General features: G+C 42.5%; 1 protein-coding gene across 2 annotated transcripts in view; it reads right to left on the bottom strand.

Annotated features, from left to right (window-relative positions):
• ABCG8 (ATP binding cassette subfamily G member 8) overlaps positions 1-15,230 on the bottom strand; it is a 44,018-nt gene that overhangs the window by 15,625 nt on the left and 13,163 nt on the right. For both annotated transcript variants that reach the window (NM_022437.3, NM_001357321.2), the window contains exons 5-6: positions 14,878-15,010; positions 14,496-14,765 (exon numbers count right to left, since the gene is read on the bottom strand). In NM_022437.3, coding sequence (NP_071882.1) covers positions 14,496-14,765; positions 14,878-15,010 — 403 coding nt within the window. The remainder of the gene's footprint in view (positions 1-14,495; positions 14,766-14,877; positions 15,011-15,230) is intronic.

Raw genomic sequence — 15,230 nt, 5'->3', positions numbered from 1 at the left:
ATTCTTTTTTTTTTTTAATTATACTTTAAGTTTTAGGGTACATGTGCACAATGTGCAGGTTAGTTACATATGCATACGTGTGACATGCTGGTGCGCTGCACCCGCTAACTCGTCATCTAGCATTAGGTATATCTCCCAGTGCTATCCCTCCCCCCTCCCCCCACCCCACAACAGTCCCCAGAGTGTGACGTTCCCCTTCCTGTTTCCATGTCTTCTCATTGTTCAATTCCCACCTATGAGTGAGAACATGCGGTGTTTGGTTTTTTGTTCTTGCGATAGTTTACTGAGAATGATGATTTCCAATTTCATCCATGTTCCTATAAAGGACATGAACTCACCATTTTTTATGGCTGCATAGTATTCCATGGTGTATATGTGCCACATTTTCTTAATCCAGTCTATCATTGTTGGACATTTGGGTTGGTTCCAAGTCTTTGCTATTGTGAATAATGCCGCAATAAACATACGTGTGCATGTGTCTTTATAGCAGCATGATTTATAGTCCTTTGGGTATATACCCAGTAATGGGATGGCTGGGTCAAATAGTATTTCTAGTTCTAGATCCCTGAGGAATCACCACATTGACTTCCACAATGGTTGAACTAGTTTACAATCCCACCAACAGTGTAAAAGTGTTCCTATTTCTCCACATCCTCTCCAGCACCTGTTGTTTCCTGACTTCTTAATGATTGCCATTCTAACTGGTGTGAGATGGTATCTCATTGTGGTTTTGATTTGCATTTCTCTGATGGCCAGTGGTGGTGAGCATTTTTTCATGTGTTTTTTGGCTGCATAAATGTCTTCTTTTGAGAAGTGTCTATTCATGTCCTTCGCCCACTTTTTGATGGGGTTGTTTGTTTTTTTCTTGTAAATTTGTTTGACTTCATTGTAGATTCTGGATATTAGCCCTTTGTCAGATGAGTAGGTTGCGAAAATTTTTTCCTATTTTGTGGGTTGCCTGTTCACTCTGATGGTAGTTTCTTTTGCTGTGCAGAAGCTCTTTAGTTTAATTAGATCCCATTTGTCAATTTTGGCTTTTGTTGCCATTGCTTTTGGTGTTTTAGACATGAAGTCCTTGCCCGTGCCTATGTCCTGAATGGTAATGCCTAGGTTTTCTTCTAGGGCTTTTATGGTTTTAGGTCTAATGTTTAACTCTTTAATCCATCTTGAATTGATTTTTGTATAAGGTGTAAGGAAGGGATCCAGTTTCAGCTTTCTACATATGGCTAGCCAGTTTTCCCAGCACCATTTATTAAATAGGGAATCCTTTCCCCATTGCTTGTTTTTCTCAGGTTTGTCAAAGATCAGATAGTTGTAGATATGCGGCGTTATTTCTGAGGGCTCTGTTCTGTTCTATTGATCTATATTTCTGTTTTGGTACCAGTACCATGATGTTTTGGTTACTGTAGCCTAAGAGGGTGAGAATTCTATCCAGATAGATAGTCAGAGTTCTATCCACAGAGTGAGCATTCTATCGAGACAGATAGTGAGAATTCTATCCAGAGAGTGAGAATTCTATCCAGATAGATAGTGAGAGATCTATCTAGACAGATAGTGAAAGTTCTATCCAGATGGTGAGAATTCTATCCAGACTGATAGTGAGACTTCTATCCAGAGATTAAGAATTCTATCCAGATAGACAGTGAGAGTTCTATCCACATAGATATTGAGAGTTCTATCCAGACAGTGAGAATTCTATCCAGAGAGAGAGTGAGAGTTCTATCAGTAGGGAGAATTCTATCCAGATAGTGAGAGTTCTATCTAGAGGGTGAGAATTCTATCCAGATAGTGAGAGTTCTATCTAGAGGGTGAGAATTCTATCCAGATAGATAGTCAGAGTTCTATCCATAGAGTGAGAATTCTATCCAGACAGATAGTGAGAGTGCTATGCAGAGACTGAGAATTCTATCCAGATACTGAGAGCTCTATCCAGATGGTAAGAATTCTATCCAGACAGATAGTGAGAGTTCCATGCAGATGTGAGAATTCTATCCAGATAGTAAGAGTTCTATCCAGAGGGTGAGAATTCTATCCAGATAGATAGTGACAGTTCTATGCAGAGACTGAGAATTCTATCCAGATAGTGAGAGCTCTAAGCAGATGATGAGAATTGTACCTAGACAGATAGTGAGAGTTCCATGCAGATGGTGAGAATTCTATCTAGATAGTGAGAGCTCTATCCAGATGTTGAGAATTCTACATAGACAGATAGTGAGAGTTCCATGCAGATGCTGAGAATTCTATCCAGACAGTGAGCGTTCTATCCAGAGGGTGAGAATTCTATCCAGACAGATAGTGGGAGTTCTATCCAGAGAGTGAGAATTCTATCCAGATAGTGAGAGTTGTATCCAGAGGGTGAGAATTCTATCCAGATACATAGTCAGAGTTCTATCCACAGAGTGAGAATTCTATCTAGATAGATAGTGAGAGTTATATGCAGAGAGTTACAATTCTATCCAGATAGTGAGAGTTGTATCCAGAGAGTGAGAATTCCGTCCAGATAGACAGTGAGAGTTCTATCCAGATAGTGAGTATTCTATCTAGATAGATAGTGAGAGTTTTATACAGAGAGTGAGAATTCTATCCAGATAGTGACAGTTCCATGCAGACGGTGAGAATTCTATCCAGATAGTGAGAGTTCTACCTAGAGGGTGGGAATTCTATCCAGATAGATAGTGAGAGTTCTATGCAGAGATTGAGAATTCCATCCAGATAGTGAGAGCTCTATCCACATAGTGAGAATTCTACCTAGACAGATAGTGAGAGTTCCATGCAGATGGTGAGAATTCTATCCAGATAGTTAGAGTTCTATACAGATGGAGAGAATTCTACCCAGACAGATGGTGAGAGATCTATCCAGAGGGTGAGAATTCTATCTAGATAGATAGAGTTCTATCCAGAGAGTGAGAATTCTATTCAGATACTGACAGTTCTATTCAGATGGTGAGAATTCTATCCAGATAGTGAGTGCTATCCAGAGAGTGAGAATTATATCCAGATAGGTAGTGAGGGTTCCATCCAGAGAGTGAAAATTCTATCCAGACAGATAGTGAGAATTCTATCCATATGGTGAGAATTCTATGAAAATAGATAGTGAGAGTTCTACCCACAGAGTGAGAATTCTATCCAGATAGTGAAAGTTCTATCCAGATCGTGGGAATTCTATATATAGAGAGAGTGAGAGTTCTATCCAGAGAGTGAGTATTTTATCCACACAGTAAGAATTCTATCCAGATGGTGGGAATTCTATCCAGATAGATAGTGAGAGTTCTACCCAGAGAGTGAGAATTCTATCCAGACAGATAGTGAGAATTCTATGCAGATGGTGACAAATCTATCCAGATAGTGAGAGTTCTACCCAGAGAGTGAGAATTATATCCAGATTGACAGTAAGAGTTCTACCTACAGAGTGAGAATCCTATCCAGATTGTGAGAGATGTTTCCGGACGGTGAAAATTCTACCTAGACAAATAGAGTTCTATCCAGAGAGTGAGAATTCTACCTAGACAGATAGTGAGAGTTCTATCCAGAGAGTGAGAATTCTATCCAGACAGGTAGTGAGAGTCCTATCCACAGAGTGAGAATTCCATCCAGATAGATAGTAAGAGTTCTATCCAGACAGATAGTGAGAGTTCTATCCAAATGGTGAGTATTCTATCCAGACAGATAGTGAGAGTTCTATCCAGATGGTGAGAATTCTATCAAGATAGACAGTGAGAGTTCTATCCAGATGGTGAGAATTTTATCCTGACAGATAGTGAGAATTCTATCCAGAGACATAGAATTCTATCCAGATAGATAGTGAGAGTTCTATCCAGAGGGTGAGAATTCTATCCAGATAGTGACAGTTCTTTCCAGATACTAAGAGTTCTATCCGGAAAGATAGTGAGAGTTTTATCCAGAGAGTAGGAATTCTATCCAGTTAGTGAGAGTACTATTCAGATGGGAATTCTCTCTAGATGAATAGCGAGAGTTCTATCTAGAGAGTGAGAATTCTATGCAGATAGTGAGAGTTCTATCCAGATAGTGAGAATTCTATCCAGATAGATAGTGAGAGTTCTATCCAGATTGTGAGAATTCTATCTAGGTATATAGTGAGAATTCTATCCCGATGGTGAGAATTCTATCCAGATAGTGAGTGCTATCCAGAGAGTGAGAATTATATCCAGATAGGTAGTGAGAGTTATATCCAGAGAGTGAAAATTCTATCCAGATAGTGAGAGTTATATCCAGAGAGTGAGAATTCTATCCAGATAGATAGTGAGAGTTCTATCCATATGGTGAGAACCCTATCAAGATAGATAGTAAGAGTTCTACCCACAGAGTGAGAATTCTATCCAGATGGTGAGAAATCTATCCAGATAGTGAGAGTTCTATACAGACAGTGAGAATTCTATCCAGATTGATAGTAAGAGTTCTATCCAGAGAGTGAGAATCCTATCCAGATTGTAAGAGTTGTTTCCAGATGGTGAAAATTCTACCTAGACAGAGAGTGAGAGTTCTATCCAGAGAGTGAGAATTCTATCCAGACAGTTAGTAAGAGTGCTAACCAGATTATCAGAATTCTACACAGAGAGATAGTGAGAGTTCTACCAAGAGACTTAGAATTCTACCCAGATCGTGAGAGTTCTATCCAGATGGTGAGAATTCTATCCAGATAGATAGTGAGAGTTCTATCCAGAGAGTGAGAATTCTATTCTATCCAGTTAGATAGTGAGAATTCTATCCAGATAGTGAGAATACTATCCATATAGTGAGAGTTGTTTCCAGGTAGTAAGAGTTCTATCCAGAAACATAGTGAGAGTTTTATTCAGAGTAAGAATTCTATCCAGTTAGTGAGAGTTCTATCTAGATGGTGAGAATTCTATCCAGACAGATAGCGAGAATTCTATCCAGAGAGTGAGAATTCTATTCAGATAGTGAGAGTTCTATACAGTTGGTGATAATTCTCTCCATATAGATAGTGAGAGTTCTATCCAGAGAGTGAAAATTCTATCCAGATACACAGTAAGACTTCTATCCAGATTGTGAGAATTCTATCCAGATAGATAGTGAGAGTTCTACCAAGAGAGTGAGAATACTACCCAGATAGTGAGAGTTCTATCCAGATGCTGAGAATTCTATCCAGACAGATAGTGAGAGTTCTATCCAAAGAGTGAGAATTCTATCAAGATAGATAGTGAGAATTCTACCCAGATGGTGAGAAATCTAGCCAGATACTGAGAGTTCTTTCCAGGTAGTAAGAGTTCTATCCAGAAAGATAGTGAGATTTTTACCAAGAGAGTAAGAATTCTATCCAGTTAGTGAGAGTTCTATCTAGATGGTGAGAATTCTATCCAGACAGATAGCGAGAGTTCTATCCAGAGAGTAAGAATTCTATTCACATAGTGCTAGTTCTATCCAGAGAGTGAGAATTATATCGAGGTAGATAGTGAGAGTTCTATCCAGAGAGTGATAATTCTATCCAGATAGATAGTGAGATTTCAATGCAGATGGTGAGAATTCTATCCAGATAGATAGTGAGAGTTCTACCCAGAGAGTGAGAATTCTATCCCGGTAGTGAGAGTTCTATGCAGATGGTGAAATTTCTATCCGGATAGTGAGAATTATGTCCACTATCCGGATAGTGAGACATAGTGTCCACTATCTGGGGAGTGAGAATTCTATCCAGATTGTGAGAGTTCTATCCAGAGGGTGATAGTTCTATCCAGAAAGATAGTGAGAGTTCTATCCAGAGAGTAAGAATTCTATCCAGATAATGAGAGTTCTATCCAGATGGTGAGAATTCTACCAGACAGACAGGGAGAGTTTTATCCAGATGCTGAGAATTCTATCCAGACAGATAGAGTTTTATCCAGAGAGTGAGAATTCTATCCAGATAGATAGTGAGAGTTCTATCCAGATGGTGAGAATTCTATCCGCATTGATAGTGAGAGTTCTATCCACAGAATGGGAATACGATCCAGACAGATAGTGAGAGATCTATCCAGAGAATGAGAATTCTATCCAAATAGATAGTGAGACTTCTATCCAGATAGATAGTGAGAATTCTACCCAGATGGTTAGAATTCTATACAGATAGTGAGCATTCTTTCCAAGTAGTAAGAGTTCTATCAAGAAAGATAGTGAGATGTTTATCCAGAGAGTAAGAATTCTATCCAGTCAGTGAGAGTTCTATCTAGATGGTGAGAATTCTATCCAGACAGATAGCGAGAGCTCTATGTAGACAGTGAGAATTCTATCTAGATAGGGAGAATTCTACCCAGATGGTGAGAGTTATTTCCATATAGATAGTGAGGGTTCTATCCAGAGAGTGAGAATTCTATCCCGATAGATAGTGATAATTCTAACCAGATGGTGAGAATTCTATCCGGATAGTGAGAGTTCTATCCAGAGAGTGAGAATTATATCCAGATATATAGTGAGAGTTCTATCCAGAGAGTGAGAATTCTATCCAGATAGACAGTGAGAGTTCTATGCAGAGAGTGAGAATTCTATCCAGATTGTTAGAGTTCTATCCAGAGGGTGAGAATTCTATACAGACAGATAGTGACAGTTCTATCCAGAGGGTGAGAATTCTATACAGCAGATAGTGAGAGTTCTATCCAGAGAGTAAGAATTCTATCCAGATAGTGAGAGTTCCATCCAGAGGGTGAGAATTCTATCCAGAGAGATTGTCAGAGTTCTACCCAGATGGTGACAATTCTATCCAGATAGCGAGAGTTCTATCCAGATAGGTAGTGAGAGTTTTATCGAGATAGACAGTGAGAGTTCTCTGCAGATGGTGAGAATTCTATCCAGATAGTGAGACTTCAATCGAGAGAGTGAGAATTCTAACCAGATAGATAGTGAGAGTTCTATCTAGAGGGTGAGAGTTCCATCCAGAAAGATAGTGAGAGTTCTATCCAGAGTGTAAGAATTCTATCCAGATAGTGAGAGTTCTATCCAGATCGTGAGAACTGTACCAAACAGAGAGTGAGACTTTTATCCAGATAGTGAGAATTCTATCCAAATAGTGAGAGTTCTATCCAGAGGGTGAGAGTTCCGTCCAGGAAGATAGTGAGAGTTCTATCCAGAGTGTAAGAATTCTATCCAGATAGTGAGAGTTCTATCCAGATCATGAGAATTCTACCAGAGAGTGAGAGTTTTATCCAGATGGTGAGAATTCTATCCAGACAGATAGTGAGAGTTCTATCCAGAGAGTGAGAATTTTATCCAGACAGATAGTGAGAGTTCTATCCAGAGGATGATAATTCTATCCAGATACTCAGAGTTCTGTCCAGAGGGTGAGAATTCTATCCAGATAGATAGTGAGAGTTCTATCCAGAGGATGATAATTCTATCCAGATACTCAGAGTTCTGTCCAGAGGGTGAGAATTCTATCCACATTGATAGTGAGAGTTCTATCCAGAGAATGAGTATTCTCTCCAGACAGATAATGAGAGATCTATCCAGAGAATGAGAATTCTATCCAGATAGATAGTGAGAGTTCTATCCAGAGAGTGAGAATTCTATCCAGATAGTGAAAGTTCTAACTAGATGGTGAGAATTCTATCCAGACGGATAGTGAGAGTTTTATCCAGCAAGCGAGAATTCTATCCAGATATATAGTGAGAGTGCTATCCAGAGGGTGAGAATTCTATCAAGATAGATAGTGAGAGTTCTATCCAGATAGTGAGAATTCTATCCAGATAGTGAGAGTTCTATCTGGATGGTGAGAAATCCTTCTAGATAGTGAGAGTTCTATCCAGAGGGTGAGAATTCTATCCAGATTGATAGCGACAGTTCTATCCACAGAGTGAGAATTCTTTCCAGACAAATAGTGAGAGATCTATCCAGAGAGTGAGAATTCTATCCAGATAGATAGTGAGAGTTCTATGCAGAGTGAGAATTCTATCCAGATAGTAAGAGCTCTATCCAGATAGATAGTGAGAGTTCTATGCAGAGTGAGAATTCTATCCAGATAGTAAGAGCGCTATCCAGATGGTGAAAATTCTATCTAGACAGATAGTTAGAATCCCGTGCATGCAGATGGCGAGAATTCTATCCAGATAGTGAGAATTCTATCCAGAGGGTGAGAATTATATCCAGACAGAGAGTGAGAGTTGTATCCAGAGTGTGAGAATTCTATCCAGATAGTGAGAGTTGTATCCAGAGGGAGAGAATTCTATCCAGATAGACAGTCAGAGTTCTATCCACAGAGTGAGAATTCTATCCAGACATTTGGTGAGAATTCTATCCAGACAGTGAGAATTCTATCCAGAAAGTTCTGAGAGTGACAGTTCTATCCAGACAGATAGTGAGAGTTCTATCCAGATGGTGAGAATTCTATCCAGATAGATAGTGAGAGTTCCACCCAGATTTTGAGAATTATAGCCAGACAGAGAGTGAGACTTCTATCCAGAGACTAAGAATTCTATCCAGATAGACAGTGAGAGTTGTATCCAGAGGGTGAGAATTCTATCCAGATAGTGAGAGTTCTATCTAGATAGATATTGAGAGTTCTATCCGGAGTGTGAGAATTCTATCCAGATAGATAGTGAGAGTTCTATCCAGAGGGTGAGAATTCTATTGAAATAGATAGTCAGAGTTCTATCCAGAGTGAGAATTCTATCCAGATAGTGAGAGTTCTACCCAGACGGTGAGAATTCTATCCAGATAGTGAGAGTTCTAACCAGAGTGTGAGAAATCTATCCAGACAGGTAGTGAAAGTTCTATCCAGAGAGTGGGAATTCCATCCAGATAGATAGTGAGAGTTCTATACAGAAAAATAGAGTTCTATCCAAATGGTGAGTAGTCTATCCAGACAGATAGAGTTCTATCCAGATGGTGAGAATTCTATCGAGATAGATAGTGAGAGTACTATTCAGAGAATGACAATTCTATCCAGATTGTGAGAGTTCTGTCCAGATATATAGTGAGAGTTCTATCCAGAGACAGAGAATTCTATCCAGATAGATAGTGAGAATTCTATCCAGATGTTGAGAATTCTATCCAGATAGTGAGAGTTCCTCCCAGTTAGTAAGAGTTCTATCAAGAAAGATAGTGAGAGTTTTATCCAGAGAATAAGAATTCTATCCAGTTAGTGAGAGTTCAATTCAGATGGTGAGATTTCTATCCAGACAGATAGTGAGAGTTCTATCCAGAGAGTGAGAATTCTAACCAGATAGTGAGAGTTCTGTCCATATGGTGAGAACTCTATCCAGACAAATAGTGAGAGTTCTATCTAGATGTTGAGAATTCTATCCAGATAAATAGTGAGAGTTCCACACAGAGAGTGAGAATTCTCTCCAGATAGTGAGAGTTCTATCCAGATGGTAAGAATTCTATCCAGATATATATTGAGAGTTCTATCTAGAGAGTGAGAATTCTATAGATAGATAGTGAGAATTCTATCCAGATGGTGAGCAATCTACCCAGATAGTGAGAGTTCTATCCAGAGAGTGAGAATTATATCCAGATTGATAGTAAGACTTCTATCCAGAGATAGCGAATTCCATACAGATTGTGAGAGTTGTTCATGGATGGTGAAAATTGTATCTAGACAGGTAGTGAGAGTTCTAACGACAGAGTGGGAATTATATCCAGATAGATAGTTGGAAATCTATCCTCAGATGTTGAGAATTCTATCCAGATAGTGAGAGTTCTCTCCAGGTAGTAAGAGTTCTATCCTGAAAGATAGTGAGAGTTTTGTCCAGAGAGTAAGAATTCTACCATTTATTGAGAGTTCTATCTAGGTGGTGAGAATTCTATCCAGACAGATAGCAAGAGTTCTATCGAGAGAGTGAGAATTCTATCCAGATAGTGAGGATTCTATCCAGATGTTGAGAATTCTTTCCATATAGATAGTGAGGGTTCTTTCCAGAGTGAGAATTCTATCCAGAGAGATAGTGAGAGTTCTATATAGAGTGAGGATTCTATCCAGATAGTGAGAGTTCTATCCAGAGAATGAGAATTCTATCCAGATAGATAGTGAGAGTTCTATCCAGATGGTCAGAGTTCTATCGAGGAATACGAGAGAGTTCTATCCAGAGAGTAAGAATTCTATGCAGATAGTGAGAATTCTACACAGATGGTGAGAATTTTATCCAGACCGATAGTGAGAGTTCTGTCCAGATGGTGAGAATTCTATCCAGACAGATAGTTAAGAGTTTTATCCAGAGAGTGAGAATTCTGTCCAGATAGATAGTGAGAGTTCTATCCAGAGAGTGAGAATTCTATCCAGATAGATAGTGAGAGTTCTATCTAGAGAGTGAAAATTCTAACCAGACAGATAGAATTCTATGCAGATAGTGAGAATTCTATCCAGACAGTTAGTGAGAGTTATATCCAGAGAGTGAGACTTCTATCCAGGTAGATAGTGCGAGTTCTATCCAGAGGGTGAGAATTCTATCCAGAAAGACACTGAGAGTTCTATCCAGAAAGTAAGAATTCTATCCAGATAGTGAGAATTCTATCCAGATGGTGAGAATTCTACCAGACAGATAGTGAGAGTTTTATCCAGAGAGTGAGAATTCTATCCAGATAGATAGTGAGCGTTCTATCCAGAGGGTGAGAATTCTATCCAGATAGATAGTGAGAGTTTTATCTAGAGTGAGAATTCTATCCAGATAGTGAAACTTCTTCCAGATGGTGAGAATTCCATCCAGATAGATAGTGAGAGTTCTATCCAGAAAGTGAGAATTATATCCAGATAGATAGAGAGTTCTACCCAGAGAGTGAGAATTCTATCCGGATAGAGAGTTCTATTCAGATGGGAAAATTGTATCCAGATAGGGAGAGTTCTATCTACATGGGGAGAGTTCTATCCAGATAGAAAGTGAGATTTCTATCCAGAAAGTGAGAGTTCTCTTCCCACACAGTGAGAGTTTTATACACATGGTGAGAGTTCTATCCAGATAGTGAGAGTTCTATCCAGATGGTGAAAATTCTATCCAGTTATTAACAGTTCTATCTAGAGAGTGAGAGTTCTATCCAGACAGGGAGTGAGAGTTCTATCCAGACAGGGTGTGAGAGTTCTATCCAGACAGGGAGTGAGAGTTCTATCCACAAAGAGAGTGAGAGTTCTATCCAGAGAGTGAGAATTCCATCCAGATATTGAGAGTTCTGTCAGGATGGAGAGAATTCTATCCAGACAGATAGTCAGAGTTCTACCCATAGGGTGAGAATTCTATTCAGATAGATAGTGAGAGTTCTATCCAGAAAGTGAGAACTCTATCCAGATACATAGTGGGAGTTCTACCCAGAGTGTGAGAATTCTATACAGATAGTTAGAACTGTATCCAGAGGGTGAGAATTCTAGCAAGCTAGAAAGTGAGAGTTCTATCCAGAGAGTGAGAATTCTATTCAGATAGTGAGAGTTCTATCCAGATGGTAAGAATTCTATCCAGATAGATAGTGAGAGTTCTATCCAGAGAGTTATAATTCTATCCCGAGAGTGAGAGATCAATACACATGGTGAGAATTCTATCCAGACAGATAGTGAGAGTTCTATACAGTGAGTGAGAATTCTATCCAGATATACACTGAGAGTTCTATCCATAGAGGGAGAATCCCATCCAGATAGATAGTGAGAGTTCTATCCTGAGAGTGAGAATTATATTTAGATGGTGAGAGTTCTATCCAGAGAGTGAGAATTCTATCTAGATAGTGAGAGTTCTATCCCGATGGTGAGAATTTTATCCAGACAGTGAGAGTTCTATCCTGATGGTGAGAATTCTATCCAGACAGATAGTGAGATTTCTATCCAGAGAGTGATAATTCTATCTAGATAGATAGTGAGAGTTCTCTCTGGAGGGTGAGAACTGTATCCACAAAGATAGCGAGAGTTCTAACTAAAGACTGAGAATTCTTTCCAGATAGTGGGAGTTCTATCCAGATGGTGAGAATTCTATCCAGAGAGTGACAGTCCTATGCAGAGGGAGAGAATTCCATCCAGATAGATAGTGAGAGTTCTGTCCCCAGAGTGAGAATTCTATCCAGATAGACAGTAAGAGATCTATCCAGAGAGTGAGAATTCTATCCAGATAGTGAGAGTTCTATCCAGAGAGTGAGTATTCTATCTCGATAGATAGTGAGAGTTATATACAGAGAGTGAGAATTCTATGCAGATAGTGAGAGTTCTATCTAGATGGTGAGAATTGTATTGAGATAGTGAGAGTTCTATTCAGAGGGCGACAATTATATCCAGATAGATATTGAGAGTTCTATCCAGAGAATGAGAATTCTATCCAGATTGTGAGAGTTCTATCCAGATGGTGAGAATTCTCACTGAAAATTAATAACTTGGCCTCCCAGGCACCCTGCCGAAAGCAGGAGAATGTCTGGCTGGAGGGTTCTAGGGACCGGCCAACTTCAGGTAGATTTCTCACTGACCCCTTGGTCGGCTGCTCTGCCCCAGGAGGGAGACAGCACACTTGGCTGTAGACCCAATCTGATCAGCCCCTGCCTCCTAAATCCCAGGGATGCTAACCTGTAGGGAGCACCAGGCAACCCCACACCACAGCTGTCCTCTTGCAGTGCCTCTGCCTTCTACCTCCAAGGCCCTGGCAATGCCAGAAAAGGCAAACTGAGCCCAGCCACAGCCAGGATCTCCCTATACCCAGCTCAGTCTAGGACCATGCATGCCTGCCCACCCTCCCTTCATTCCTTCCCCAGAACCTTGGCTTGGCTAGAGGTTCCCCACTCCTCTCTCTTCCCCTTCCCTCCTCCCATATCCTTTTTTTTTTTTTTTTTTTGAGATGGAGTCTCACTCTATCGCCCAGACTGGGGTGCAGTGGCACAATCTCAGCTCACTGCAACCTCCGCCTCTCAGGTTCAAGCAATTCTCGTGCCTCAGCCTCCCAAGTAGCTGGTACTATAGGCAAGCGTCACGCACCCAGCTAATTCATATATTTTTATTAGAGACAGAGTTTCACCATGTTGGCCAGGCTGGTCTCAAACTCCTGACCTCATGTGATCTGCCTGCCTCAGCCTCTGAAAGTGCTGGGATTACAGGCATGAGCCACTGCACCCGGCCCTTCCTCCCATTTTCATAACACATCTCAAGACAAGATAATGTCTAGGTGGGGTCTTATAAACCATGATGTGGCCCCCTAGTGTGCAGCACTGTAGCTCAAAACATCAGATTTTTGGGTAACCCAGGCCCCGTGTAGCTCTTGCATCCCAGGTTGGTGAGAGGTTCCTGCCCCAGGGCTTGCAGGCCAGAGCCCCTTCCAGTAACAATATAAAATGTAAAAAAGAGTTTTCAGGTTTGCTGTGGACACTTGACTTCTGGTAACCCCTCTCTGGGGTTACTTTAAATTATTCCCCGATGGCCAGGTCGGCAGGTGCCTTTTGGCCCCTATTCTGGGGATGGCTGGCCTGAGGATGACACACCGTCAGGAAGCCAGGCTGCCACCTGAGCACAGGGAGGGAGGTGACCTTTCTGTGAGTTCATGCAGAATGTGAGTACAGAGGGCAAGGGGCGGCCTGTCCTCCTGGGGGAAGGATGGTGGAGAACTTGGGACACTAGGAGGAGGGTGTGGGCTGCTGGACGAGGAGTCACAGCCAGGGCTGGGCACCAGTCCCAGTTCTGTGCCTTACAACTGTGCTGGAACAGGTGTTTAGCTCTGCAAGCTCCAGGCTTCTCATCTGTAAAGATGGAGATGGCCTTGGCCTGGCCGGGGCTTGAGAGTCAAACAGGAGACCCTTTGAGCCTGGCATGTTTGGGCCCCATGTTTGCCTTCAAGGAGATGATCGCTGTTGTCCTGTTTACTGGTGGGGTCCTTGCTACAGTTTGCCATCCTGGGTGGAAGCTGGGGGCTCAGGCGACCTATAGCATAAGCCATGACAGCTGTCTCCCTGGGACCTGGTACAACCATGACGCCTGTCCAGCAGCCATGCCCTTCCTCAGCACTCAGGATTTCAGGCCAGGTACCTGGGAAGGCAACTGTCCCCTGCAGAATGAAGGAAGCGGCTCATGCTCCCTGAGTGTAATATGCTGAGTGTTCAGGACCCAAGCAAAGGGCAAGCCTGGGGCTGCCAGAGCAATTTTCACATCTAGAGATTCCCTGGCCAAGGCCACCACCCTGGGCCCCCCTCTGCCACCCTGCACCTTCAGGCTCCCTGCCACTGTGGGAACACCAGGGCATGTTTTAAGATCTGGTGACTTCTTGACCTTAAAGGTTGTTTCCCTACTGAGTCTGAATAAAGACTCTGATATTTATTGATCCCCACCCTCTTGAATTCCATGCCCTCCCATCTTTGGAGTTTGCAAGTTTCTAATCTATCATGCACAGAAGGGTAGCTCTTTGTCAGAAGCTTCTATTTCCAGGCCCTCATTTCTAGCATTTGATACCTGGCAAACCACCCCATGTTCTTCCCCATCATTGCTCCTCCTCTCCTGAAACCTCTGGGAGTTTCTCCCCTGAATCTTTCCAGCAAGCTTGGGCAGGGTTTAAGCATCGGGGAGGCCCTGTGTGCCAGGGCCCTGGCTGCTGGCCTTGGGGACTCACCATAGAAGTCAGCAGGATTGCTGTAGCGAGGACAGGGGTAGCCGATGGCTGTGAAATACTGGACCATGTGCTGGGCCGCCCCTAAGTAGATGGGGGTGCCAGACGTCATCAGGAGGACCAGATCAAACAGCCTGAAGATGTCAGAGCGAGGCTGGTGGAGGGAGATGAGCACCAGCCGGTTGCCTTTGGCCAGCCTGGACAAGGTCTTCACCAGGTTGTGGGCTGTGAAGCTGTCGAGCCCAGAGGTGGGTTCGTCGAGAATAAGGATTCCTTTCCAACACAGAGAGGAGCCTGGTGAGTCGGTGGGGCTCTGGCCAGACCAAGCCAAGCCTGAGGGGACCGCACAGGTCCCTCTGCCCCCATCTGCCCCCCAGGCCCTCACCTGGGTTCCACAGGAGCTGCACCCCAATGCTGACTCTCCTGCGCTCACCCCCCGACAACCCCCGCACGTACATGTTGCCCACGCGGGTGTCAGCGCACTGCCTAAGCCGCAGCTCCGCGATCACGTCCTCCACCTGTGGGCCAGAAGGAGCTTTGAGGCCACCTCAGGGGCCTCCTTCAGGGCTGGACACATTGTGACCCCAAGGATAAAGGCGCCCGCTCCTCCGGCTGGGTTTGAAAGTGAAGGGAGACAGCTCCAGCACTTGAGTTCCAAGCTGCAACATTGGTTCCCCTGATTCTTTCCACAGGTCCCGAGGGGCCTCGACGTGCTGGGCATGGTGCCCTGTGTTAGGA

The sequence above is a fragment of the Homo sapiens genome, chromosome 2, assembly GCF_000001405.40.
Source record: "Homo sapiens chromosome 2, GRCh38.p14 Primary Assembly".
NCBI lineage: Eukaryota > Metazoa > Chordata > Mammalia > Primates > Hominidae > Homo > Homo sapiens.
Note: the sequence above shows the minus strand (reverse complement) of the source record. Positions and strands in the feature narration are given on the sequence as shown.